Source organism: Homo sapiens, chromosome 2 (genome assembly GCF_000001405.40).
Source record: "Homo sapiens chromosome 2, GRCh38.p14 Primary Assembly".
Classification (NCBI taxonomy): Eukaryota; Metazoa; Chordata; class Mammalia; order Primates; family Hominidae; genus Homo; species Homo sapiens.
The window spans coordinates 203,083,823-203,108,862 of NC_000002.12; the positions used below are offsets into that span (position 1 = coordinate 203,083,823).

General features: G+C 37.6%; 1 protein-coding gene across 10 annotated transcripts in view; it reads left to right on the plus strand.

Annotated features, from left to right (window-relative positions):
* NBEAL1 (neurobeachin like 1) overlaps nt 1-25,040 on the plus strand; it is a 210,587-nt gene that overhangs the window by 69,215 nt on the left and 116,332 nt on the right. For 6 of the 10 annotated variants that reach the window (XM_011511658.4, NM_001378026.1, XM_006712698.5 and 3 more), the window contains 5 exons: nt 641-747; nt 13,725-13,811; nt 15,807-15,890; nt 23,598-23,696; nt 23,786-24,366. In XM_011511658.4, coding sequence (XP_011509960.1) covers nt 641-747; nt 13,725-13,811; nt 15,807-15,890; nt 23,598-23,696; nt 23,786-24,366 — 958 coding nt within the window. Of the gene's footprint in view, nt 1-640; nt 748-13,118; nt 13,228-13,724; nt 13,812-15,806; nt 15,891-23,597; nt 23,697-23,785; nt 24,367-25,040 lie in introns of those variants that run through there. The other 4 variants (XM_047445554.1, NM_001114132.2, XM_005246787.5 and 1 more) reach the window with 2 other exon arrangements.

The following is a 25,040-nucleotide window of genomic DNA, read 5'->3' on the forward strand; positions in this document are numbered from 1 at the left end:
ATTTTCAGAAAGCACCATTTGTAGTAACCTATGGTAAAGAGTCACATACAGTGAATTTTGTATGTGCCTCTATAACATCTCTGTAGAGGTCGCTTCAAAAATCTGCCCTTTCTCTAGAGGGCCTCCGTTTTTGTTTCTTTTTTTCCTCAGAGCCTGTGTGTGTGTGTGTGTGTGTGTGTGTGTGTGTGTGTGTGTGTGTTTCTCTTCCCTTCTCTTTGTGTTGGTTGTTTTGTGTCATTCTGCTTATTTATCTCTGTCTCTATGCTCTGCAAGCTCCTTCACCAATATATTATGATTTCTTATTGTGTTCCCATGTAAGGTTGTTAAATACAAATATTATTAACTGATAGTTCCTTTTAGAAGTAAAACGTTTTCATTAGAGCTAAACTAGGAAATTCAGATAAGTAAAAAGAAAAGTTATTTATATCCTGCCACTCACTCATAACGAACATTAATTGTTTGGTGTATAGCTTCTAAAGGCATAAAAATGCTTTTATGTGCTTTTGTGTGTTAGTGTCATTTTAAAAATACTGAACATCAAAGTTGTTTTAAAAATTAAAAAGAAAAATGATTAGAGTAAATGTTTGTATGATCCCAAATTTTCATTTTTACATGGATGATTTTCTTTTTATTTTCCTAGATACCATCACAGCCATGTTAGATTGTACAGATAGACCTGTTCTTCAGGCCATTTTTCTTAACAGCAATTGCTTTGAACATCTCATACGACTGCTACAGAACTGCAAGGTATTTTTCTATTATTGTTGTTGTCTTTGATTTTAAGAAGCTATTTTTTGTTTTTGTTTTGATTCACATTTGAACATATTTTTACTAATTTTTATACTTAATCTCTGTTTGCATTTAATTACATAACCAAGTTTTATCTTGAATTGAAACTAGTATTAAATCACTTGTAATTGTCTAAATACTTTAAAGGTAGTCAAACTGGAATTTCTTTGTATGGGAAGAATTTCAGTTCATGACATATATTATTTTCATTCTATCCAGAAATATCCTTGAGGCCCTTTAAGTAATTAGTTGCTTCTGAGCTCTTCTAACTATTTGTGTCTGAATATACTAAGATGAGTCTTTGAAAAACAATTGTTTCTCATGGAAACACTGTCTTCTACCACAGTTTGTAGACTCCAAGTTACATACCCTGTAAATACAGGCCACTGATTATAGGGAGTGTTATATAAAACATGTGGATTGCTTGGTGCAAACCTATTACTCTAACTCAAATTGTATGTCATTCACTGAATAATGTTTTTGTATAAGAAATAGCTTTTTTTTTGAGATGGAGTCTCGCCCTGTTGCCAGGCTGGAGTGCAGTGGTGCAATCTGCAGCCTCCACCTCCTGGGTTCAAGCAATTCTCCTGCCTCAGCCTCCCGAGTAGCTGTGACTACAGGCGGGCGCCACCATGCCCAGCTAATTTTTTGTATTTGTAGTAGAGACCGGGTTTCACCATGTTGGCCAGGATGGTCTCCATCTCTTGACCTTGTGATCTGCCCACCTCAGCCTCCCAAAGTGCTGGGATTACAGGCGTGAGCCACCGTGCCTGGCCGAGACATAGCTTTTTAATTAAATGATTTATCTAACCAATATTTATTGTGTACCAATTGTGTATCAGACACTTTTCTTTTGAGGTCACAAAATATATGTTGTCTTCATAATGACTACTTTATAAATTAGGCACAAAGTTTCAGAGCGAGAGTTTCAGTTTAGTTCTTTTTGACTTCATGGCCATTATTCCTAACTTTTACACCATGTAATGACCTAAATGATGATTTTGGGTGTTTATTTCCATTCTTCTCTCCAAATATGTGATATGTTTGTATAATTTAAATAAAATTCATAAATGATTTGGTGCCCTTTCAGGGTCAAATAACATTTTTTATTACAATTAAAGTAATACATACTCATTGTAAATGGAAACATTGATAGCATATTGATTCTCCCATACAATAATAAATATATGAATTCCAAAATTGTTGCTCATAGATGAAAACTGGTAATAATTCCCATACTTCCTAATGTAAAAATATGTATTTCTGTTAATGAAAAAGTAAGATCCCACATCAAGCTGAATAATATCAATAGGATACTTTTGTAAATATATTTTTGATAGCTCAAAATCATATTATAACATTAATACAAACAAAATTTTGAAGCAACCAGCTACTTGATAGCTTTTCCATTATCAGTGTTAACTTTTTCTGCAGTTGTTCAGAGGCTGTGGAAGTTAATGCAGATTTGTAGAAACCTTAATATGTTTGTAAGTGAATTTTGCACAATGTACGATTATATTTTGTTGCAAAACAATTTTGATGCCAAAATACGAAATATGGAGAACAGACTTCTTGAAACATTAAAAAAAAATTTGTTTCTGAAATGTCAACACACTCATCTTCTTTTCTACCTTGATCTTTTTTACTGTGTATCACTGTGGCCACTCTTCAGTCTTTCTGGAATATTACCCTTTCTAAAAATACTGGCATTCCCTGTTTGGTTCTAGGCTCTTTTTTCCAACCTTTCTTAATTTGCTTATCCTTTGGATGTCTCACCTTTGGATGTGTGGCTTTAGATATCATCTATAATACCCAAATTTCTTGTTGTTAGTTCAGCTCTCTTGAGGAATTCCACTTGAATGTCTCTCAAAATTTTCAAATTTGCCACATCTAAAATGGAACAGTTCATCCCCTACTCTTTAGTCTCCCCTTTCTTATCTTATCCCTACAGCTGCTTAAATCACCCAGGCTGGAGTGAGGTGGTATGATCTCAGCTCACTGCAACCTCTGCCTCCTGGGTTCAAGCGATTCTCCTGCCTCAGCCCCCCAAATAGCTGGGATTACAGGTGCCTGCCACCATGCCTGGCTAATCTTTGTATTTTTAGTAGAGACAGGGTTTCACCATGTTGGCCAGGTTGGTCTTGAACTCCTGACCTCAGGTGATTGGCCTGCCTTAGCCCCCAGAAATGCTGGGATTACAGGCGTGAGCCACCGTGCCCGGCCTGCTTTTCTTGTATTTCTAATTTAAGTCAAAGGCACCATTATCGACCCAGTTTCTCAAAGGAGGAACTTGGAAATCAATCTCGGCTTTTCCTGATCTCTCATCTCCCACATCTGCTTATGTCACCAAAGTGGACAATTTCGTTTTTTAAACATTTCTCAAATACAGCTTTTTATTCTCACTGTCATTGCTTTATTTCAGGCTTTAATTTTTTTGCCAGATTATGGCAACATTTACTTGTTTTCTCCTTTTTCACTCTTTTTTTTTTTTTTTTTTTTTTGGAGACAGTCTTGCTCTGTCGCCCAGGCTAGAGTGCAGTGGCGCAGTCTCTGCTCACTGAACCTCCGCCTCCTGGGTTCAAGCGATTTTCCTGCCTCAGCCTCCCAAGTAGCTGGGATTATAGGCACCCGCCACCGTGCCCGGCTAATTTTCATATTTTTAGTAGAGATGGGGTTTCACCACCTTGGCCAGGCTGGTCTGGAACTCCAGACCTCGTGATTCACCTGCCTCGGCCTCCCAAAGTGCTGGGATTATAGGCGTGAGCCACCGAGCCCGGCCCCTTTTCACCCTTATCCCCTTCTACATTGAAGCCAAAACTATCTCTTTGATACATCAATGTTATCGTATCAATCCTTTGCTTAACATGTTCTCCCAAACCATGAAAATATTCTAGTGATTTTTAAATCTCCATACCATGACTTGTGCAAGGCTCTAAGACATCTGACTCAAGGCCTGCCTATTAAGCCTTTCTTACAAAGACCCTTATTAAACCCTTCATGTTTTCTTATTCATGCTTTTTAAATCTATCTCCTTGATGCTTTTATAGCTACTTGAAATAATTTCTTTTCTGCTCTTTTAAAAAGATTACTACGTAATATTTTCTGATGCTCCTGGGTCTAGATAGATACATATTAGTATCTTTTAGAAGTCTGTGGGGTGACACTTAAACTTTTTGTGTTTCATACTCAACTGTGGTCTATTTGAAGGCAAGCAGGCTGACTTTAATTTCTTCTCTCCCATCATTAGGTATTTGGCACACAGTAGAAGCTTAATAAATAAAGTTGAAAATCGATTAAATTTGCAGTTGGTTGCCTAGAACAACAGGATTATGCTAGGGTAAGGGAGCAGAATAAATATCAGAAGCAAAATGTATTTGGTTTAAAAATTTGCTTGGCTGCACAACTCTCTGCCAAAAAAGGGGCATAAAAATGCTTTTCCTCTTCCCTTTTCATGTTTACTCTATAGCTAGTATTTTATAATCGAAAACTCAGGCTTATTTTAAAAGTATTAGAACAGCTACAACATGTATTAAATGATATAAACTCCAATGGGAGACTACTCTCCTTTTCTGTATAACTATGTTAACAAATTTTAAATTATTATGATATATATTGGAATATGATTAATTTGAAAATTAGGATTCATTACAATTTTTTTCACTACCAGTAAGTCTTTATTGATTGATTGTATCTTCCCAGGGAAAGAAGGAGGGGAGGGAAAAGAGTCAGCATGTGTATTACAGAATGATTAGGAAATGGGAAAGGAAGTACCCAGTACAGCAAAATCAACTATCAAATAAACCCCTCAGTGATGGGGTCACCAAAGCCCAAAGGAGCTCAGTCTCCTGCAGTTCAGGAATGAGGGGAAGGGATCAGGGAAAGAACACACAGGTACCCTCGCTCTGTCCCCATAAATTCAAGATTTCACACAAAGCTTTGGTTTCTAGCAGTAAACATGGAGTTATATCCTTCTATCTCCTATTAAACAATCTTGTGGCCACTTTGACATAAGTTTCTTATACCCACATAAAAGTTCCAGAGTGACTTGGATATATATTCATATTCCCTTTCTTGCCCTCCAGACCCCACTTTCTACATGGAAGGCCCCCATTTGTTTCTATCTGCTTAAGATGAAAGATTAAGTAGGTTTGATCCATCCAAAATACAGCAGTGTCCTAAGTATTTGACATGAATCACATCAAGAAAAGGTCTTGACTTGGGAGATTGGGAACAAGGGATGGAGAGTTCCTAGCTTCTTCTGGATTTTTGCATAAATCATTTAAGAATTGCAGAGATACCCCAAGAATTAACCAAGTATGTGTGTGGGTGTATAGGTTTCTTTTGGAGGAGGGGAATGTAAAAGAGGGCAGAGTAGGAGACAAGTTTTCAGGACAAAACATCTGGTCCAGTAGGTAATAGGGTAAGGAGAACAGAAAAGAAAGGGTGGTTCAAGATCCTCACTTTAGGCCAGACGCGGTGGCTCAAACCTGTAATCCCAGCACTTTGGGAGGCCGAGGCAGGCAGATCATCTGAGGTCAGGAGTTCCAGACCAGCCTGGCCAACATGGCAAAACCCTGTCTCTATTAAAAATACAAAAATTAGCCAGGCATAGTGGCATGCTCCTATAATCCCAGCTATTCGGGAGGCTGAGGCAAGAGAATCACTTGAACCTCAGAGACGGAGGTTGCAGTGAGCCGAGATCACCCCACTGCACTCCAGCCTGGGTGACAGAGTAAGACTCCATCTCAAAAAAAAAAAAAAAGATCCCCACTTTGTTCCAGGTCTTTCTGCCTGTCGCAGAAAAGATGTCAAAGATGCTTTGGCTATTTTTCTCTCAATACAAAAAAGAAACTTGTAAACAATAAAACTCTAAAGGAATATGGAGAGAAACCAACACATATTTGCACAAACTAGGCCATCTAGCGATCACCAACTCAGTGAAGTCTTATGAAGCTCAAACAAATACAATAACTAGAGGCGGGTAGCATTTAAGAGACACGAGAACCTAGGATCACACACACACCACAAAATTAGGGGTCAGTTTAACAAACCTAAGCTCTAAAATACAAAAGAAGCACATTCAGCTTCATAAATCTTAAAGGTCAGTCTTATGTTACAATTTGAAACCACATTTTAAAGACAGTTAGTTCTTTTTGCAGAATCAAATATTTTCACCATTTTTCTCTAGGACATCGTGGATGTTGCAGTAGAGGAAATGCTTGTGTTCAGATGAATAAATTTACTAAATATCTGCTTTTGTCTCTTTTTTGAAAGTGATTCTTTTCATTTTCTGTTTTAACTTAAAAAGAATAAAATTTAATTGGTTAGAAATATTTTCCTTTGCCACTTTGAGAAAAATGTTTTAAAGTCAAATTTCAGAAAAATCTTTCTTTAACAATGAACATATCTTGCGTCTGCTATTGATGGACATAATTTTAAAATAGGCATATTGAAGTTTATTTTATGACATATGGATTGATTTTTTAAATGCACATTTAAATTAATTATTACCCACATAACTGGCTTGAATGTTTGGCTGTAATTATTCACCTTATAAGTTCTCATGTAAGAAATAGGATGTCTTTAAAAAAAACTTTTTTTTTATAGATTTAAGAGGTACAAGTGCAGTTTTGTTACATGGATATATTCCATGAACTCTAGGTTTTTAGTGTACCCATTGCCCAAATAGTGAACATTATATCCAATGGATAATTTTTCAACCTCGAGCCTCCTTTCACCTTCCTACCTTTTGGAGTCTCCAGTGTCTGTTATTCTATTTTGTATGTTCATGTGTACCCATTGATTAGCTCCCACTTACAACTGAGAGCATCCAGTAGAAGTAGCATTTTTTTACTTTTAAGGTAAAGCTTATTTTTTCATTATGAAAATGTTACTTCTTATAGGAAAAAAGGTAAATAGAGAAAAATAAAATAAATTATATATGATTATTTCTAGCCTGTAGGCATTTTTAAAGTCTTTTTAAAAATAATTGTGGGGCCAGGCACGGTGGCTCATGCCTGTAATCCCAGCACTTTGGGAGGCCGAGGTGGGCAGATCACTTGAGTTCAGGAGTTCCAGACTAGCCTGGCCAACATGGAAACCCCGTCTCTACTAAAAATACAAAAAAGTTAGCCAGGTGTCGTGGCGCATGCCTGTAATCCCAGCTACCTGGGAGGCTGAGGCAAGAGAATTGCTTGAACCCCGGAGGCGGAGGTTGCAGTGAGCCTAGATCACACCACTGCACTCCAGCCTGGGTGACAGAGCAAGACTCTGTCTTAAGAAAAGAAAAGAAAAGAAGGAAAGGAAGGAAAGGGAAAAGGAAAGGGAAAGGGAAGGGAAGGGAGAAAGGAAAGGAAGAAAGGAAAGGAATTATGTTAAAATATATAAAACATAAAAATTTAGCATCTTAACCATTTTTTAGTGTACACTTCAGTGGTGTTAAATACATTTACATTATTGTGCAGCCCATCTCCAGAGCCCTTCATCTTGTAAAATGAAAACTCTATACCCATTAAACAGCTCCCTGGTTTCCTCTCACCTCAGCCCCTGGAAACCACTATTCTACTTTATGTCTCTATGAATTTGACTACTCTAGATACCTCATAAAGGTGGAATCATATAGTATTTTTTCTTCGATGACTGCCTTATTTCACTTAGCATAGTGTCCTCAAGATTCGTCCATGTCGTAGCATGTGTCAGAATTTCCTTCCTTTCTAACACTGAATAATATTCCATTGTATGTATATACCACATTTTGCTTATTCATCCATCAGTGGACATTTGGGTTGCGTCCACCGTTTGGCTGCTGCTGTTAATATGGGTATAGAAATATCTCTTCAAGATACCATTTTCAGTTCTTTTGTGTATATACCCAGAAGTAGGATTACTAGATATATGGTAATTCACTTTTTAATATTTTTTGAGGAACTTCTGTATTGTTTTCCATAGTAGCTGTACCATTTTACATTCATACCAACAGTGCACAAAGTTTTCAATGTCTACACATCCCTGCCAGCAGTAGTGTTGTTTTTTTTCTTTTTTGATAGTGGCTGTCCTAATGGGTATGAGGTAGTATTTCATTGTGCTTTTGATTTGCCTTTCTCTAATGATTAGTGATATTGAGCATCCTTTTTGTGTGCTTATTGGCCATTTGTATATCTATCTTTGGAGAAATGTCTATTCAAGTCCTTTGCCCATTTTAAAATCAGATTTGTTATTGTCTTCTTGTTGATTTGTAAAGTCTTTTTTGTTATGCATTAACACTAGTGTGAGCATTTGATGCATGTAATTTTGTACTTTTGTTTCATTTAAGATATTTCATTATTTTCATGTGCCATAATTTTAATGTCTATATAATATTGTATTAAGTGGATGTACCATAATTTACTTAACTACACCCTGCTAGTAGGAACTTAATTTATTTCCAAAATAGAATTTTACTTCTAGTAGAATTACTAGGTCATAGGGCGTACACTTTTCTTGTTTCTTTTTTAAATTAGGGAACAGAACATTGTGTAAAAACAAGTTGTAACTCATTGGAAAATATAGAAAAGTAGAAAAATAGCAGAAATATGGTTAAGGTTCTTGATATACATGCAATTTGCTTTTGAATTTTTTTACTAATTTATACATGTAGCAGCAATGTGGAAGAGTACATAACTAAGCTGGGCATGGTGGCTCATGCCTGTAATCCCAGCACTTTGGGAAGCTGAGGCAGGTGGATCACGAGGTCAGGAGTTCGAGACCAGCCTGGCCAATATGGTGAAACCCTGTCTCTACTAAAAATACAAAAAAAAAAAAAAAATTAGCTGGGTGTGGTGGTGCGCACCTGTAGTCTCAGCTGCTCAGGAGGCTGAGGCAGAACAGTTGCTTGAACCCAGGAGATGGAGGTTGCAGTGAGCTGAGATCGTGCCACTGCACTCCAGCCTGGGCAACAGAGTGAGACTCTGTCTCAAAAACAGAAAAAAGAATATAGGATATTTCCATGTATCATGATGGTATCAGAAATTTTTTAGAGAGCTTCATAAAGCCTTTGTAAATGAAACTACTTCAAAGAGCTTTTACCTTTCTATTTGAGGTATTCTTTTCATTGATTTCCTGCTGAGGAATACCAGGGGTTAATTCTATGAGAGTAATTCAGAATAAAGATTTTAGTATCACCTCCTTGAATTTTTTCACACTGTTTTGAGGGATATTTCTGAAAGCATTTATGTCACTTCACTGCAGTAAAGAATAGCATCAAAATCAAATAGTAAAGAATATATTGGTGAAGTAAATTGTTATAAAGACAAATTCAGTGATAAAGCCAACATCTCACATGTGTAAAGAATCTGCTAATCCGCTGGATGCGGTAGCTCACACCTGTAATCCCAGCACTTTGGGAGGCTGAGGCAGGCGGATCACAAGGTTAGGAGATTGAGACCACCCTGGCTAACACAGTGAAACCCCGTCTCTACTAAAAATATAAAAAATTAGCCAGCCGTGGTGGTACATGCCTGTAGTCCCAGCTACTGGGGAGGCTGAGGCAGGAGAATCACTTGAACCCAGGAGGTGGAGGTTGCAGTGAGCCGAGATCACACCACTGCACTCCAGCCTGGGCGACAGAGGGAGACTCTGTCTAAAAAAAAAAAAAAAAAAAAAAAAAAAAGAATCTGCTTTATAGGGTCATCTCTAGGATACAATGTAATTCCTACTAAAATTTGTTAGCATTGGTTTTTCTTCAGTATATGAAACTCAGATATAACAAATTTCTGATATGAATATCTTTTTAAAAAATACAAAGCTGTTTGTCATAGCTATCATGATGGTGAGCTAATATTTGTTCTTTATAGGCCAAAGTTTATTAAAATTTACATCCGGAATCATGACCTTTAAAAGTTAATTCTTTGATACCACCTATCACATTTTGTTTTGAAACAAAAATGCTGGAGAAGAAATCTCTTTGAAGAGGGAAAACTAGCTGGGCATGGTGGTGGCTCATGCCTGTAATCCCAGCATTCTGGGAGGCCAAGGCGGGTTGATCACTTGAGGTCAGGAGTTTGAGACCAGCCTGGCCAACGTGGCGAAACCCCGTCTCTACTAAAAATACAAAAATTAGCTGGGCATGGTGGCACACCTCTGTAATCCTAGCTACTAGAGAGGCTGAAGAATCGTTTGAACTTAGAGGGTGAAGGTTGCAGTGAGCCATCACACCACTGCACTCCAGCCTGGGTGACAGAGCAGGACTCTGTCTCAAAAAAACAAAAACAATAAAAAAAACAGGGAAAACCAAGCTTTGGGACCTGGGCCTTCCCTGCTGGCCGTAATAGTCTTCCTTATTTCTGGAATTTTTTTTTTGTCAGAATTACTTTAGATTTATCACTATTCATTGAAGCCATTAAGTCTTCACAACAAAGAGGAATCTTTGAAATAAGCTTCTAAACTTCTTCATTATACAAATAAGGAAAAATGTCCTAAGGCATTAAATGATTAGCCCAAGGTCAACACTAATAATTGATGGAGGTAGGATTTCTAACCCAGGTTTTCTGACCCTAAGTCCATTGTAATATATAATTTTCTAATTGTATTACTGGAACTTAAGGTCACAGTTTAGTCAGTAGGGAAAAATGTTTTCTGTATATTAAATATAGGAGAATCAAAGGTTTTATTGATATAAAAACATTTTATGGACATAGTTGATATGATTCCTGAATATATAAAAATCTTTGAAATCTTATGAAAACCTAACTCCCCAAATATACCGCATGATGCCACAGATGTCCACGATTACTTTTTGTTTAAATTATTTGTTTGTTAGTAAAGAAATGAATCCTTTATGTTCTTTTTATATAGTAGTATAGAATAAAGACAGTTTTGCTATTTAGACCCATTGGAAACTTTGGCAAATAAAGTTTAAAATATCATAAACAATTTATGAATCAGATGGACAACCTTAAGCTGGCGGCTGCTGTTTTCATGCTTTCTTTTTGTATGAGATTCGTCAGCCTATTTAAGTATGCGTTGATTTCCGTAAGTATTTGTGTAAAGGCTTCTCGGCTTGGCAAATGAGTTTCATCAAACTATAGAGTACTTTACAATTCCATGGAATCATACATTTAACTTTTATGATAGATATGATGAACCTTAAGCATTTATCAGTTTTTTTGTTTTACTAAATTACAGGGATATGATTTGAATTAATGTAAATTTTTTAAGCTGCCCAAAGATACTTGAATTAATGAAAAGAATAGGCCAGGCTCAGTGGCTCACGCCTGTAATCCCAGCACTTTTGGAGGCCAAGGCAGGCGGATCATCTGAGGTCGGGAGTTCTAGACCAGCCTGACCAACATGGTGAAACCCCATCTCTACTAAAAATACAAAAAAATTAGCCAGGCGTGGTGGCGCATGCCTGTAATCCCAGCCACTCAGGAGGCTGAGGCAGGAGAATTGATTGAACCCAGGAGGTGGAGGTTGCGGTGAGCCGAGACTGTGCCATTGCACTCCAGCCTGGGCTACGAGAGTGAAACTCCGTCTCAAAAAAAGAAGAGAAAAGCAAAGAAGAAAACTATTATCTTTAGTAGCAAGGAGAAGAATTCAAAACCATTACCTAGTCTTTACAGCTGCTAAAATCTTGGTGTTTTTGACTGTTTCTTAGGGTAGATTTTTAGAAATACAGTTACTGGGTTAAAGAATAAGAATTGTTTGTTTGTTTGTTTGTTTTTGAGGCGAAGTTTTGCTCTTGTTGACCAGGCTGGAGTGCAATGGCTCGATCTCGGCTCACCGCAACCTCCACCTCCCAGGTTCAAGCAAGTCTCCTGCCTCAGCCTCCCGAGTAGCTGAGATTACAGGCATGCACCACTACTCCCTGCTAATTTTGTATTTTTAGTGGAGACGGGGTTTCCCCATGTTGAGGCTGGTCTCGAACTCCTGACCTCAGGTGATCCGCCCGCCTCAGCCTCCCAAAGTGCTGGGATTACAGGCGTGAGCCACCGCGCCCGGCCCAAGAATTGTTTTAAAGATTCTTCTTACGGATTGCTATATTGCTTTCTGGAAAGATTTTACTCATTTTTACACTGACCAGTTTTATCTGACTATTTGTTTCCCTTGACCTAAATATGAAATATTATTCCTTTAAAAACCTTTGCTTGTAATAATACCACCTTTCATTTGTTTTTTGTTTGTTTTGTTTGTTTGTTTTTTTGAGTCAGAGTCTCACTCTGTCACCTAGGCTGGAGTGTAGTGGCTCTATCCCTGCTCACTGCAACCTCCACCTCCCGGGTTCAGGTGATTCTCCTGCCTCAGCCTCCCAAGTAGCTGGGACTACAGGCTAGTTTTTGTATTTTTAGTAGAGACAGGGTTTCACCATGTTGGCCAGGCTGCCGGTCTGGAACTCCTGACCTCAGGTGATCCGCCCACCTCAGCCTCCCAAAGTTCTGGGATTACAGGCATGAGCCACCACACCCAGCTGACACCTTTCATTTGTTAAGTCTCTGTTATGTGCCAGATACTATGCTAATAAGCTAGCGTGGATTATGTCATTTAATATGTATAGCTATTTGATGAGGTATTTTTCTCCCTATTTTTGAGAAAAGCTTGGAGAAGTAGTTTTCCTTGAAATCAGACAGCCAGTAAGCTGCAGAACCAAAATTCAAACTCAGGTCTCTGATTCCAAGGCCTGTAGTGTATATATCAATTTATTGTTATGTTAAGCCTTACATATACTCTTCCATAACATATAATACCATACCTCTATGCAGTTTATTTTATATTGCATATTTCAGCATGTAACTCGACCTTTTGTTTTCTCATTTCTGAAATAATAGAACTTCCTAAGAACCTTGTTCCTTAGCATGCTCTTAATAAATTCCTTTATAAATCTGTCTCTCCCTTTGAGTATCATTTGAATTTTTTTCAAATTGTGGGCAAGTTGAAGGCCTTTTGGGATGCTGACTTTTATATACTGAAACTAAAATACTTGATTTCTTTATTTTACTCAGAAGAGGGTAATGCCCATGTATGCTAGAGATAATCTCAATTTTCCTTTACAGAATACAAATGAATATAAATGAAGCTCAATTCTTGATGACTTTGGAGAATACTTTTAAACTAATGTTTTAACAAAATGTGTGGTCAGATAAATTTTGGAAATGCTGCACCGTGACCTCCCTTGTCAAAGTATCCATTAGCATATTTGAGACTCTGAGGAAGTACTTCTAGAAAGAACCATTTTTAAAGTTAGTTTGATAGCACTTCACAAACTTCCTTAACTATAGAACCATACTGGGTGTTACGTACTACGGTATCTTTGGTTTGTGTCAGTAACAGCTTTCCTTCTTTTTTGTGTGTATTAGTCCATTTTCATGCTGCTCATAAAGACATACCGGAGACTGGACAATTTACAAAAGTTTAATGAACTCACGGTTTCTTGTGGCTGAGGAGGCCTCACAATCATGGTGGAAGGTGAATGACACGTCTCACATGGCGTCAGACAAGAGAAGAGAGATTGTGCAGGGAAACTTCCCTTTATAAAACCATCAGATCTAATGAGACTTATTCACTTACCATGAGAACTCCCACCGAGTTTCTCCCACAACACATGGGAATTTGGGGAGCTACAATTCAAGATGAGATTTGGGTGGGGACACAGAGCCAAACCATATCAACTGTGAGACATTCTCTGCTGATTCTTTAAGAATTTAGGAATATTAACTAGTCCTAATTATTGCCATTGTTTCTTATTTTAGTAACTTTGAATTCCAAGAGAGAAATATCTAAACTACTATTAGTTCATAATCCAAAAAGTGAATAATCTTTAATTTCTAAAAGTGTAGTATATTTCACAAGGGAATTCTTGGGTTTATTTTCAAGAGACATGGAAACCCATTTAAGCTTCATTGCTGCTTATAGGTAACAATTTAATGTTCTTTCTCCATTATTCTTGTCTCTGTTTTTAACAGCTATTTTTAAATGCTAACAATAAGGTGGCAGACAAGAACGAGAAAGACCTTGCCAACAAATTACTGACAGAAATGAATGAGGACCAGGTATCTACAAAGCCTGCATCTTGTTTCAGCTGAAGTCCAAAATCAGCCAATGGGAATAACTATTCCTGTGCTTTTCTTCTTATGTCCTAAAATACACAAACATTGTCAAATTCTAATATTTATTAATTATTTTTGAAAATTACTAAAAAGTTAAAAATTGCTTTCATCTAAAGGATAAATATCTTGGTGGTTGATACAAACAATCAGTACCATTCCATTCCCTCTACGTGTGTATGGTCTTTTCAATTTGAGGAGATATAAAGTACAGGAATGGGATCTCAGTACAATGCTGTCCACCTGGTGGTGACTTTTCTAAGCACTGTGGTATATTGGGACCTTAGGGCTTTCTTTGTGAATATGTATGGTCATTGTTAATATCTTGATTCTTTGCTTCTTATTGACAAGTGATGATTATAATTCAATGGACAACCTGAATCTTGGAGGAAGGGAAGAAGATGCTGAACTCTCTGTTAATTTAGCATAAAACTTGACTTTTTGTATTCTAGAAATTCAAGTCTATACAGGTATAATAAAGCAAAAATATGTAATTTATGTTGCTTCTCTCAATACATTAGGTAATTTAGTTTGAAAAAAAACTACCTTTAAAAATTGACGTTATTTTTCTCTTCCAAAATATTTCCAATAAACTTACATATTGTCTTTTATTAACATTGTGTTAATGTCCAAGTTTATAAATAGAATTTTTGTATAACAAGACACATTATCATCTAATTATTTTTTATTCTAGATGTGAAATGCCAATTTACAGAATATTGTTTTAGATTTCTGTATAAATGTTAATCCCTCTTAAGGCCTACTTAATGTAGATTAATAAAACAATTATTATAGTCTCTTAGAGGTTCACATTACAATTCCAAATTGTAAGTGATTCTATGCTTTCATGATTGTCTAAGCCTGATATAACAGTCATGTTCAGTTTTTTAATATTCTTGATGTTAGTTTTTGTTTTTGCTATAAATACACTGCCCTGGAATTTAACATATCTCTTCTTTTTGATGAAACTTAAACAGTAATAGACAAAATTAGGCTAGTTTTTATTTTTTCATACAACTTTTAGGATTAAAAGTTGCCTTCTCAAAAACATGACAATACTTAGAGATACTTATTTCATTTTCTGTGTCTGCCTCAAATTTTCCATTTAATATAAAAATAGATATATTTAATTGTTTATAAGTATAATTGATTGGCATATGCACATGCCATCTTAGTTTTAACACAGGGTTTGGAAACTAGATAAACAAGATTATTTTAGCTGTCTTTTTATACATGCAAATGGAATTTAAACCTGGATGGTTCAAGTGTAGTTTTGAAGGGGAATTAAAACATAATAGGATTTCTGGCTGGGCATGGTGGCTCACACCTGTAATCCCAGCACTTTGGGAGGCCGAGGTGGGTGGATCCACTTGAGGTCAGGAGTTCAAGACCAGCCTGACCAACATGGAGAAACCCTGTCTCTACTAAAAATACAAAAATTAGCTGGGCATGGTGACGCATGCCTGTAATCTCAGCTACTCAGGAGGCTGAGGCAGGAGAATCACTTGAACCTGGGAGGCGGAGGTTGCAGTGAGCCGAGATTGCACCATTGCACTCCAGCCTGGGCAACAAGAACGAAACTCCATCTCAAAAAAAAAAAAAAAAAGTAATAGGATTTCCAATGAATGATAGACCTCCCTCCCTTCCTCTTGAGATTGTCCATTATTTTTAAAAAGCATGTGTTAAGCTTGTTTTTTTCTCAAAACATTTTAATGTAATAAGTGAATGTTGCCTTATCCTCCTTGACATGTGGTTTATTTTTCTTTTAAATAGGTAACTTTCCTTGCAGGTTATAGTGTTTCAGAAATCCATTTCATCAGAAGAGGAATGTAATGCATGTTAAGTAATTATTTTTTCAGGTTTTCAGACCAAAGGTTTCCTAACTCAATAAAAATCGTGAGCACATTTGTTAATTTCTTGTTTCCCCTTCCCCCTCAATAGGTGTTTCAGGGACAATTGGATTGTTTGGCCATATCAACCATTCAGGCTTTGACCGCAGTAATGAACAAATCTCCAGCTGCTAAGGTGAAACATATATCCTCCAGCTTTTTTTTTTTTCTTAACTTTTATTTTAGGTTCAGGGGTACATGTGCAGGTTTGTTATATAGGTAAATTGGATATCATGGGGATTTGGTGTACAGATTATTTTGCCACCCAGGTAATAAGCATAGTACCCAATAGGTAGTTTTTCAATCTTCCCGCTCCTCCTTCCTTTCATCCTCAAGTAGGCCCTGGTGTCTATTGTTCCTTTCTTTGTGTCCATATGAACTCAGTGTTTGGCTCCCACTTATATGTAAAAACATGTGGTATTTGGTTTTCTATTCCTGTGTTAGTTCGCCTAGAATAATGGCCTCCAGCTCCATCCACATTGTTGCAAAGGATATGAGGATATGATCTCCTTTGTTTTTATGGCTGTGTAGTATTCCATGGTGTATATATACTACATTTTCTTTATCCAGTCTACAATTGGCTTTAGGTTGATTCCATGTGTTTGCTATTGAGAATAGTGCTATGATGAACATACATGTTCATGTGTCTTTATGGTAGAACAATTTATATTCCCTTGGGTATTTATCCAATAATGGGATTGCCAGGTTGAATGGTAATTCTGCTTTGAGTTGTTTGAGAAATTGCCAGACTGCTTTACATAATGGCTGAGCTAATTTGCATCCCACCAGCAGTGTATAAGTGTTTCCTTTTCTTCACAACCTTGCCAACATCTGTTACTTTTTGATGTTTTAATAATAGCCATTCTGACTGGTGTGAGATGGTATGTCATTGTGGTTTTGATTTGCATTTCTCTAATGATTAGTGATGTTTAGCATTTTTTAATATGCTTGTTGGCTGCATGTTTTCTTTTCTTTTTTTTTTTTTTTGGAGGTAGGGTCTCCCTCTGTCGCCCAAGCTGGAGTGCAGTAGCACGATCTCAGCTCACTGCAACCTCCGCCTCCTGGTTTCAAGTGATGCTCCTGCCTCAGCCTCCCAAGCAGCTGGGATTACAGGTGTGCACCACCACAGCCCGGCTAATTTTTGTATTTTTAGTAGAGATGGGGTTTCACCACGTTGGCCAGGCTGGTCTTGAACTCCCAACCGCAGGTGATCCGCCTGCCTCGACCTCCAAAAGTACTGGGATTACAGGCATGAACCACCACACCCAGCCCTGTTTTCTTTTGAAAAGTGTCCGTTCTTGTCCTTTGCGCACTTTTTAGTCGGGTTATTTGCTTTTACTTGTTGATTTGTCTAAGTGCCTTATAGATTCTGGATATTAGACCTTTGTTGGATGCATGGTTTGCAAATAGTTTCTCCCATTCTGTAGGTTGTCTGTTTACTCTGTTGATAGTTTCCTTTGTTGTGCAGAAGCTCTTTAGTTTAATTTGGTCCCATTTGTCAATTTTTGTTTTTGTTGCAGTTACTTTTGATGGCTTCATCATGAAATCTTTGCCAGGTCCTATTTTACATTTAAGTCTAATCCATCTTGAGTTGATTTTTGTGTATTGTAAGGAAGGGGTCCAGTTTCAGTCTTCTGCATATTGCTAGCTAGTTATCCCAGTACTATTTATTGAAAAGGAGCCCTTTCCCATTGCTTGTTTTTGTCATGTTTGTCAAAGATTGGATGGCTGTAGGTGTGCAGCATTATTTCTGGGCTTTCTTTTCTGTTCTACTGGTCTATGTGTCTGTTTTTGTACCAGTACTATGTTGTTGTGGTTACTGTAATCTCGTAGTGTAGTTTGAAGTCAGGTAATGTGATGCCTCCAGCTTTGTTCTTTTTGTCTAGGATTGCCTTGGCTATTCAGGCTCTTTTTTGGTTCCATATTAATTTTAAAATAGGTTTTTCTAATTCTGTGAAGAATGCCACTGGTAGTTTGATAGGAATAGCACTGAATCTGTAAATTGCTTTGGGCAGTATGGTCATTTTTTTTCTCTTTGAGACAGAGTCTCGTTCTCTCACCCAGGTTAGAGTGTAGTGGCGTGATCCTAGCTCACTGCAACCTCCATCTTCCAGGTCCAAGCGATTCTCCTGCCTCAGCTTCCCAAGTAGCTGGGATTACAGGTGTGCACCAATGCTTGGCTAATTTTTTTGTATTTTCAGTAGAGACAGGGTTTCACGATGTTGACCAGGCTGGTCTGGAACTCCTGACCTCAAATGATCTGCCCACCTCGGCCTCCTAAAGTGCTGGGATTACAGGCGTGAGCCCCCACACCAGCCCAGGCAGTATGGTTATTTTAACAGTATTGATTCTTCCTATTCATAAACATGGAATATTTTTCCATTTGTTGGTGTCATCTCGGATTTCTTTCAGCAGTGTTTCGTAATTCTTGTTGTAGAGATCTTTCACCTCACTGGTTAGCCATATTCCCAGTTATTTTATTCTTTTTGTGGTAATTGTTAATGGGATTGCATTCTTGATTTGGCTCTTAGCTTGGATATTGTTGGTGTATAGGAATGCTGCTGATTTTTGTACATTGATTTTGTATCCTGCAACTTTGCTCAAGTAGTTTATTAGATCAAGGAGCTTTTAGGCAGAGACTATGGGGTTTTCTAGGCGTAGAATCATATTGTCTGCAAACAGGGAGAGTTTGACTTATTCTCTTCCTACTTAGAAGCCTTTTATTTCTTTCTCTTGCCTGATTGCTCTGGCTATGACTTCCTGTACTGTGTTGAATGGGAGTAGTGAGAGAGGGTATCCCTGTCTTATTCTGGCTTTCAAGGGGAATGCTTCCAGCTTTTCCCCATTCAGTATGATGTTGGCTGTGGGTTTGTCATAGATGGCTCTTATTTTGAAGTATGTTCCTTCAGTGCCTAGTTTGTTGAGGGTTTTTAACATGAAGCGATGCTGAATTTTATTGAAAGCCTTTTCTGTTTCTATTGAGATAATCTTGTGGTTTCTGTTTTTAGTTCTGTTTATGTGATGAATCACATTTATTAATTTGCATATGTTGAACCAACATTGCATCCCATGGATAAAGCCTACTTGATCATAGTGGATTAGCTCTTTGATGTGCTGCTGGATTCTGTTTGCTAATGTTTTGTTGAAGATTTTTGCATCTATGTTTATCAAGGATATTGGCCTGAAGTTTTCTTTATTTGTTGTGTCTCTGCCAGGTTTTGGTATCAGGGTGATGTTGGCCTCATAGAAGGAGTTAGAAAGGAGTCCTTCCTCCTCAATTTTTTGGAAAAGTTTCAGTAGGAATGGTACCAGCTCTTTTTTATGTATCTGATAGAATTTGGCTGTGCATCTTTCTGGTCCTGGGCTTTTTCTGATTGGTAGGCTTTTTATTACTGATTCAAATTTGGAACTCATTATTGGTCTTTACTGGGATTCATTTTCTTCCTAGTTTGATCTTGGGAGGTTGTATGTTTCTAGGAATTTATCCATTTCTTCTAGGTTTTCTAGCTTGTGTGCATAGAGGTGTTCATAGTAGTCTTTGTGGGTTTTTTGTATCCTGTGGGGTCAGTAGTAATGTCCTATTTGTCATTTCTGATTGTGTTTATTTAGATATTCTCTCTTTTTTTTCTTTGTTCAGTTAGTGATCTATTTTATTAATTCTTTCAAAGAATCAACTCCTGGAATTGTTGATCTTTTGTATTTCTTTTTTTTTTTGGAGACAGAGTCTCTGTCTGCCACCCAGGCTGGAGTCCAGTGGCGCGATCTCAGCTCACTGCAACCTCCGCCTCCCGGGTTCAAGCAGTTCTCCTGCCAGCCTCCTGAGTAGCTGGGATTACAGGCACATGCCACCATGCTTGGCTAATTTTCGTATTTTTAGTAGAGATGTGGTTTCACCATGTTGGCCAGACTGGTCTTGAACTCCTGATCTCAAGTGATCTGCCTGCCTCAGCCTCCCAAAGTGCTGGGATCACAGATGTGAGCCATTGTGCCCGGCCTATCTTTCGTATGGTTTTTGATGTCTCAATTTCCTTCAGTTCAGCGCTGTTTTGGTTAGTTCTTGCCTTTTGCTAGCTTTGGGATTGGTTTTCTCTTGTTTCTCCAGTTCTCTAGTTGTGATGTTAGGTTGTTGGATTTGCAGTCTTTCTAACTTTTTGATGTGGGCGTTTAGTGCTATAAATTTCCCTCTTAACACTGCTTTAGCTATGTCCCAGAGATTCTTGTATGTTGTATCTTCTCATTAGTTTCAAATAATTTCTTTATTTCTGCTCTAATTTTATTATTTACCCAGGAGTCATTCAGGAGTAGACAGTTTAATTTTCATGTAAGCGTGTGGTTTTGAACAATTTTCTTAGTCTTGATTTCTATTTTTATTGTACTATGGTTCGAGAGTGTAGTTGGTATGATTTTGGTTTTTTGAAATTTGCTGAAGATTATTTTATGTCTGATTGTGTTGTCGATTTTAGAATATGTCCCATGTGCAGATGTGAAGAATGTATATTCTCTTGTTTTGTGGTAAAGTGTCCTGTAGATCTCTACTAGGTCCATTTGGTCATGTGTTAAGCTCAGGTCCTGAATATCTTTGTTAGTTTTCTACCTCAATGATCTGTCCAAGTATACTGTAGGTCTCTAAGAATTACAAATCTAGGTGCTTCTGTGTTGAGTGTGTATATATATTTAAGATAGTTAGGTTTTGTTAAATTGAGCCCTTTATCATTATGTAACTTCTTTGTCTTTATGATCTTTGTTGGTTTAAAGTCTGTTTTGTCTGAAGTAAGAATAGCAACCCCTGCTTTTTTCCATTTTCCATTTGCTTGGTTGATTTTTCTCCATTCCTTTACTTTAAGCCTATGGGTGTCACTGCATGTGAGATGAGTCTCTTGAAGACAGCATACCACTGGGTCTTGGTTTTTTATCCAACTTGCCACTCTGTGCCTTTTAATTGGGGAATTTAGCCCATATACATTCAAGGTTAGTACTAATCTGTGCATATTTGATCCTACTGCCATATTATTAGCTAGTTATTATACAGACTTGTTGACTTGTGTGTGTGGTTGCTTTATAGTGTCATGGGTTTATGTACTTAAGTGTGTTTTGGTAGTGGCTGGTAATGGTCTTTCCTTTCCATATTTAGCACTCCCTTCAGGATATCTTGTAAGGCAGGTCTGGTAGTAATGAATTCTTTTAGCATTTGCTTCTCTGAAAAGGATCTTATTCTTCCTTCACTTATGAAGCTTAGTTTGGTTGGATATGAAATTCTTTGGAATTTCTTTTTTTTCTTTTTTCTTTCTTTCTTTTTTTTTTGAGACAGAGTCTTGCTCTGTTGCCCAGGTTGGAGTGCAGTGATGTAATCCTGGCTCACTGCAACCCCTGCCTCCTGGGTTCAAGCAATTCACCTGCCTCAGCCTCCGGAGTAGCTGGGATTACAGGTGCTTGCCACCACGCCTGGCTAATTTTTGTATTTTAGTAGAGGTGGGGTTTCACCATTTTGGCTAGGCTGGTCTGGAACTCCTGACCTCGTGATCTACCCCCCTCAGCCTCCCAAAGTCTGGGATCCCAGGTGTGAGCCACTGCACCCAGCCTCTTTTCTTTAAGAATGCTGAATATGGATGGGCGCAGTCGCTCACACCTGTGATCCCAGCACTTTGGGAGGCTGAGGCAGGCGGATCATGAGTTCAGGAGATCGAGACCATCGTGGCTAACACAGTGAAACCCCATCTCTACTAAAAAAAAAATACAAAAATTAGCCAGGCATGGTGGCGGGCGCCTGTAGTCCCAGCTACTCGGGAGGCTGAGGCAGGAGAATGGTGTGAAACCTGGAGGTGGAGCTTGCAGGAGCTGAGATCGCGCCACTGCACTCCAGCCTGGGTGACAGAGCGAGACTCCATCTCAAAAAAAAAAAAGAAAGCTGAATATATGCTCCCAGTTGCTTCTGGCTTGTATGGGTTTCTGTTGAAAGGTCTGCTGTTAGCCTGATGTATCTCCAAGTTTTAAAATATTTAAATAGATGTGCCGATTTTCACTATGTAAATTCTGAAGTGATGTATGAAAGTATGTAATACATGTGGCTTAACACCTGAAATAAAATCATTCACAAAATATCTTAATATAAGAATGAGGTTATTTATTGTTTGCCTATACTTGTGATAATTTTAAAGACAAACCCCTATAGGCACTGCTTTAAGATTTTAAAAGACATTAATGATTGAACTGCAAACTGATAGGATTTACAGTGTTGGCAAAGAATGGGACATGAGCACTGGTGTTGGAAGGATACTTTTAAGTGGTTCTGTGGTTCATGAGTTTAAAAAATTAAGCTTTATATCAGAGTTTTTCTTCATTAATAAAATAATGACCCTTTATTTAGTCAGTTTATGACTGCCTAAAATATGACATTTTTCACATTTGAATAGCCTATCAATTTGATACTAGTTTTTCCAGGTTGTATGGCCATGGAAATTCTGCTTCTTGTATTCACTAACCCTTAGAGTTTTCTGTCTCTTCTCATTCACTGCCACTGACTGTTCTTCTGTCCAGTTATACTGGTAGTTTCCTCATATGCTGATAAGATTAGTGAGGTCATCTGTGTGAAGTGGTAAGCATAGTGCCAGGCACATGATAAGTGCTAAATACATGTCAGTGACTTTTATTATTACTTTACACTCTTATCTGCCACATCTAATATACTTTATGCCTCACCTTCCTGGTACCAGAAGTGAATTAATTACTCCCTGTTTTCTGAAACATGCCTTTCATTGTATTCCTTAGATTACATTGGTTTGTGTTAGGAGACTCTAACTTTTGCCTTAGAAATGTTGACATAACTCATGGTTAGGTTCCTATTGAATAGGCTTTTACAACTTTTACAGTCTGGCTTGTGACTTAATCTCCATCTAATACTAGTTGCTGTACGATGGAAACCATTTTAAGTCCTAAATAACTGGTTTATGAGTATAATGGATTGCCTGTACTGTATTCTGAAATTCAAACATGAGAAAAGATGTTCCAGTCTTCCTTGAAAGTTGTTTTTTTTTGTCCATATAATAGCTGGCATGTTTAAAATTCAAAAGATTATATAACAAAAATACATGAGAAAATATTTCCTATTCTTGACCCACATTCAACCATTTCTCTCCCTAAAGGAAACCAGCTTTACTTGTTTTGTTAAATTTTTTGATTTTGTAGTGAGTGTATATATTTCAACCTAAGGTAATGGGGCACTTTAGTATGTTCTAGGTTTTCCAGTTGTCTTTATATTTCACTTTATGACTTTGGGTGCCTACTGGTTCAAAAATACATGTGACATAGAACTTCCTAAAATGAACTTGATGTTCCAGATAATTCAGACCATTTAGATACAAGTAGCAGAGAGAAAACTCTTTGTACTCAGTTTCTTTCTGACCACTATTCAAAATTGGCAGGAACTCTTTAATTGGGTCTTTTTAGGCTGATATCTGACTCCTCTTACCTACAGTCTCCTCATTTTTTCCTCTATTTTTGTTTTGACTTAACTACTACTATAGTAATTACAAATCAAGTGAAGAAAATACAAGAATTGTCATATGCCCTAATCTGCAAATAATATAATAATTCTATAACACAGTTATTGTTAATTTCATTTATTTTGAATTTTGGTAGATAATTATAACTTCATTACTGCAGAAGTTATATGGAATCTATTTTAAAATGAAGACATGATTTAAGAAGGCAAATAGTGAATTCGTGTCTTTTTCTTTATTTAATATTAAGTTAATTAGCATAAATGAGTATTATTTAATATTTTTAATATTCCAACATATTCAGTCTTTGAAAATGTACTTTGATATATTGTCTTCCCATCCCCTAGGAAGTATTTAAAGAAAGAATTGGTTATACACATATGCTTGAAGTATTAAAATCCCTGGGTCAGCCACCACTGGAATTACTTAAAGAACTTATGAATATGGTGAGTTTATAACCTTTATTAAGAGAATTTCTGTTAATATCCATTTTGAAAATGATAACTAACCTTTTATCTTTTATGTTGCTTTTCAGGCTGTAGAGGGTGACCACACTTCAGTTGGGATTTTGGGCATTAGTAATGTCCAACCTCTCTTGCTTCTTATCCAGTGGCTTCCAGAACTACAATCCCATGACCTGCAAATCTTCATCTCTGATTGGCTGAAAAGAATTTGTTGTATTAATAGACAGAGTCGAACTACTTGTGTCAATGCAAACATGGGGATTAGAATCATTGAAACCCTTGACTTGCATTCTTCCCTCCATCAAACTTGTGCTGAGAACTTGATTGCAATCCATGGTTCCTTGGGGAGTCAGTCAGTGAGCTCAGAAGAAATCCGTCGACTACTGAGATTGCTGAGAGTGGATGAATCTGAGTCTGTTCACCCTTATGTCACTCCCGTGACTCGAGCAATCCTGACAATGGCCCGAAAACTAAGTCTAGAGAGTGCCCTCCAGTATTTCAATTTGTCACATAGTATGGCAGGAATTTCTGTGCCTCCCATACAGAAATGGCCAGGGTCTGCCTTTTCTTTCAGTGCTTGGTTTTGCTTAGACCAGGATCAGTTGACTCTTGGCATTGCTAACAAAGGAGGGAAAAGGAAACAATTGTACAGGTATTGGTAAAAATTATGGAATATAAATGAATACTGTCATAACAATATATGCTGTGATTCTTAAACAGGAAAACTGTTTCCAAGCATCTAGCTTTTAGATATACAGCTTATCTAAAGTCTCTTCATCCTTAGGCTTTATACAGTTTAATTATAAGTGCTTTATTGCTTTCATAGTAATAGCTGTTTATCTCAAATATTGCTGGTTAAGTTTTTTTTTTTTGTTTTTTTGAGACAGAGTCTGGCTCTGTCACCCAGGCTAGAGTGCAGTGGCGTGATCTCGGCTCACTGCAAGCTCCACCTCCTGGGTTCACGCCATTATCCTGCCTTAGCCTCCCAAGTAGTTGGGACTACAGGCACCCGCCACCACGCCCAGCTAATTTTTTGTATTTTTTTTTTCGTAGAGATGGGGTTTCACCGTGTTAGCCAGGATGGTCTCCATCTCCTGACCTCATGATCCACCCACCTCGGCCTCCCAAATTGCTGGGATTACAGACTTGAGCCACCGCACCCAGCCACAAGTTTCCTTCTTAAAAGTAGTGTAAAAGTGAAAGGAAAAAGGAGTAATAACCTTGAAAATGGGCCAGGTGTGGTGGCACACTTGTAATCCCACCACTTTAGGAGGTAGAGGCAGGTGCATTGCCTGAGGCCAGGAGTTCAGGACCAGCCTGGGCAAC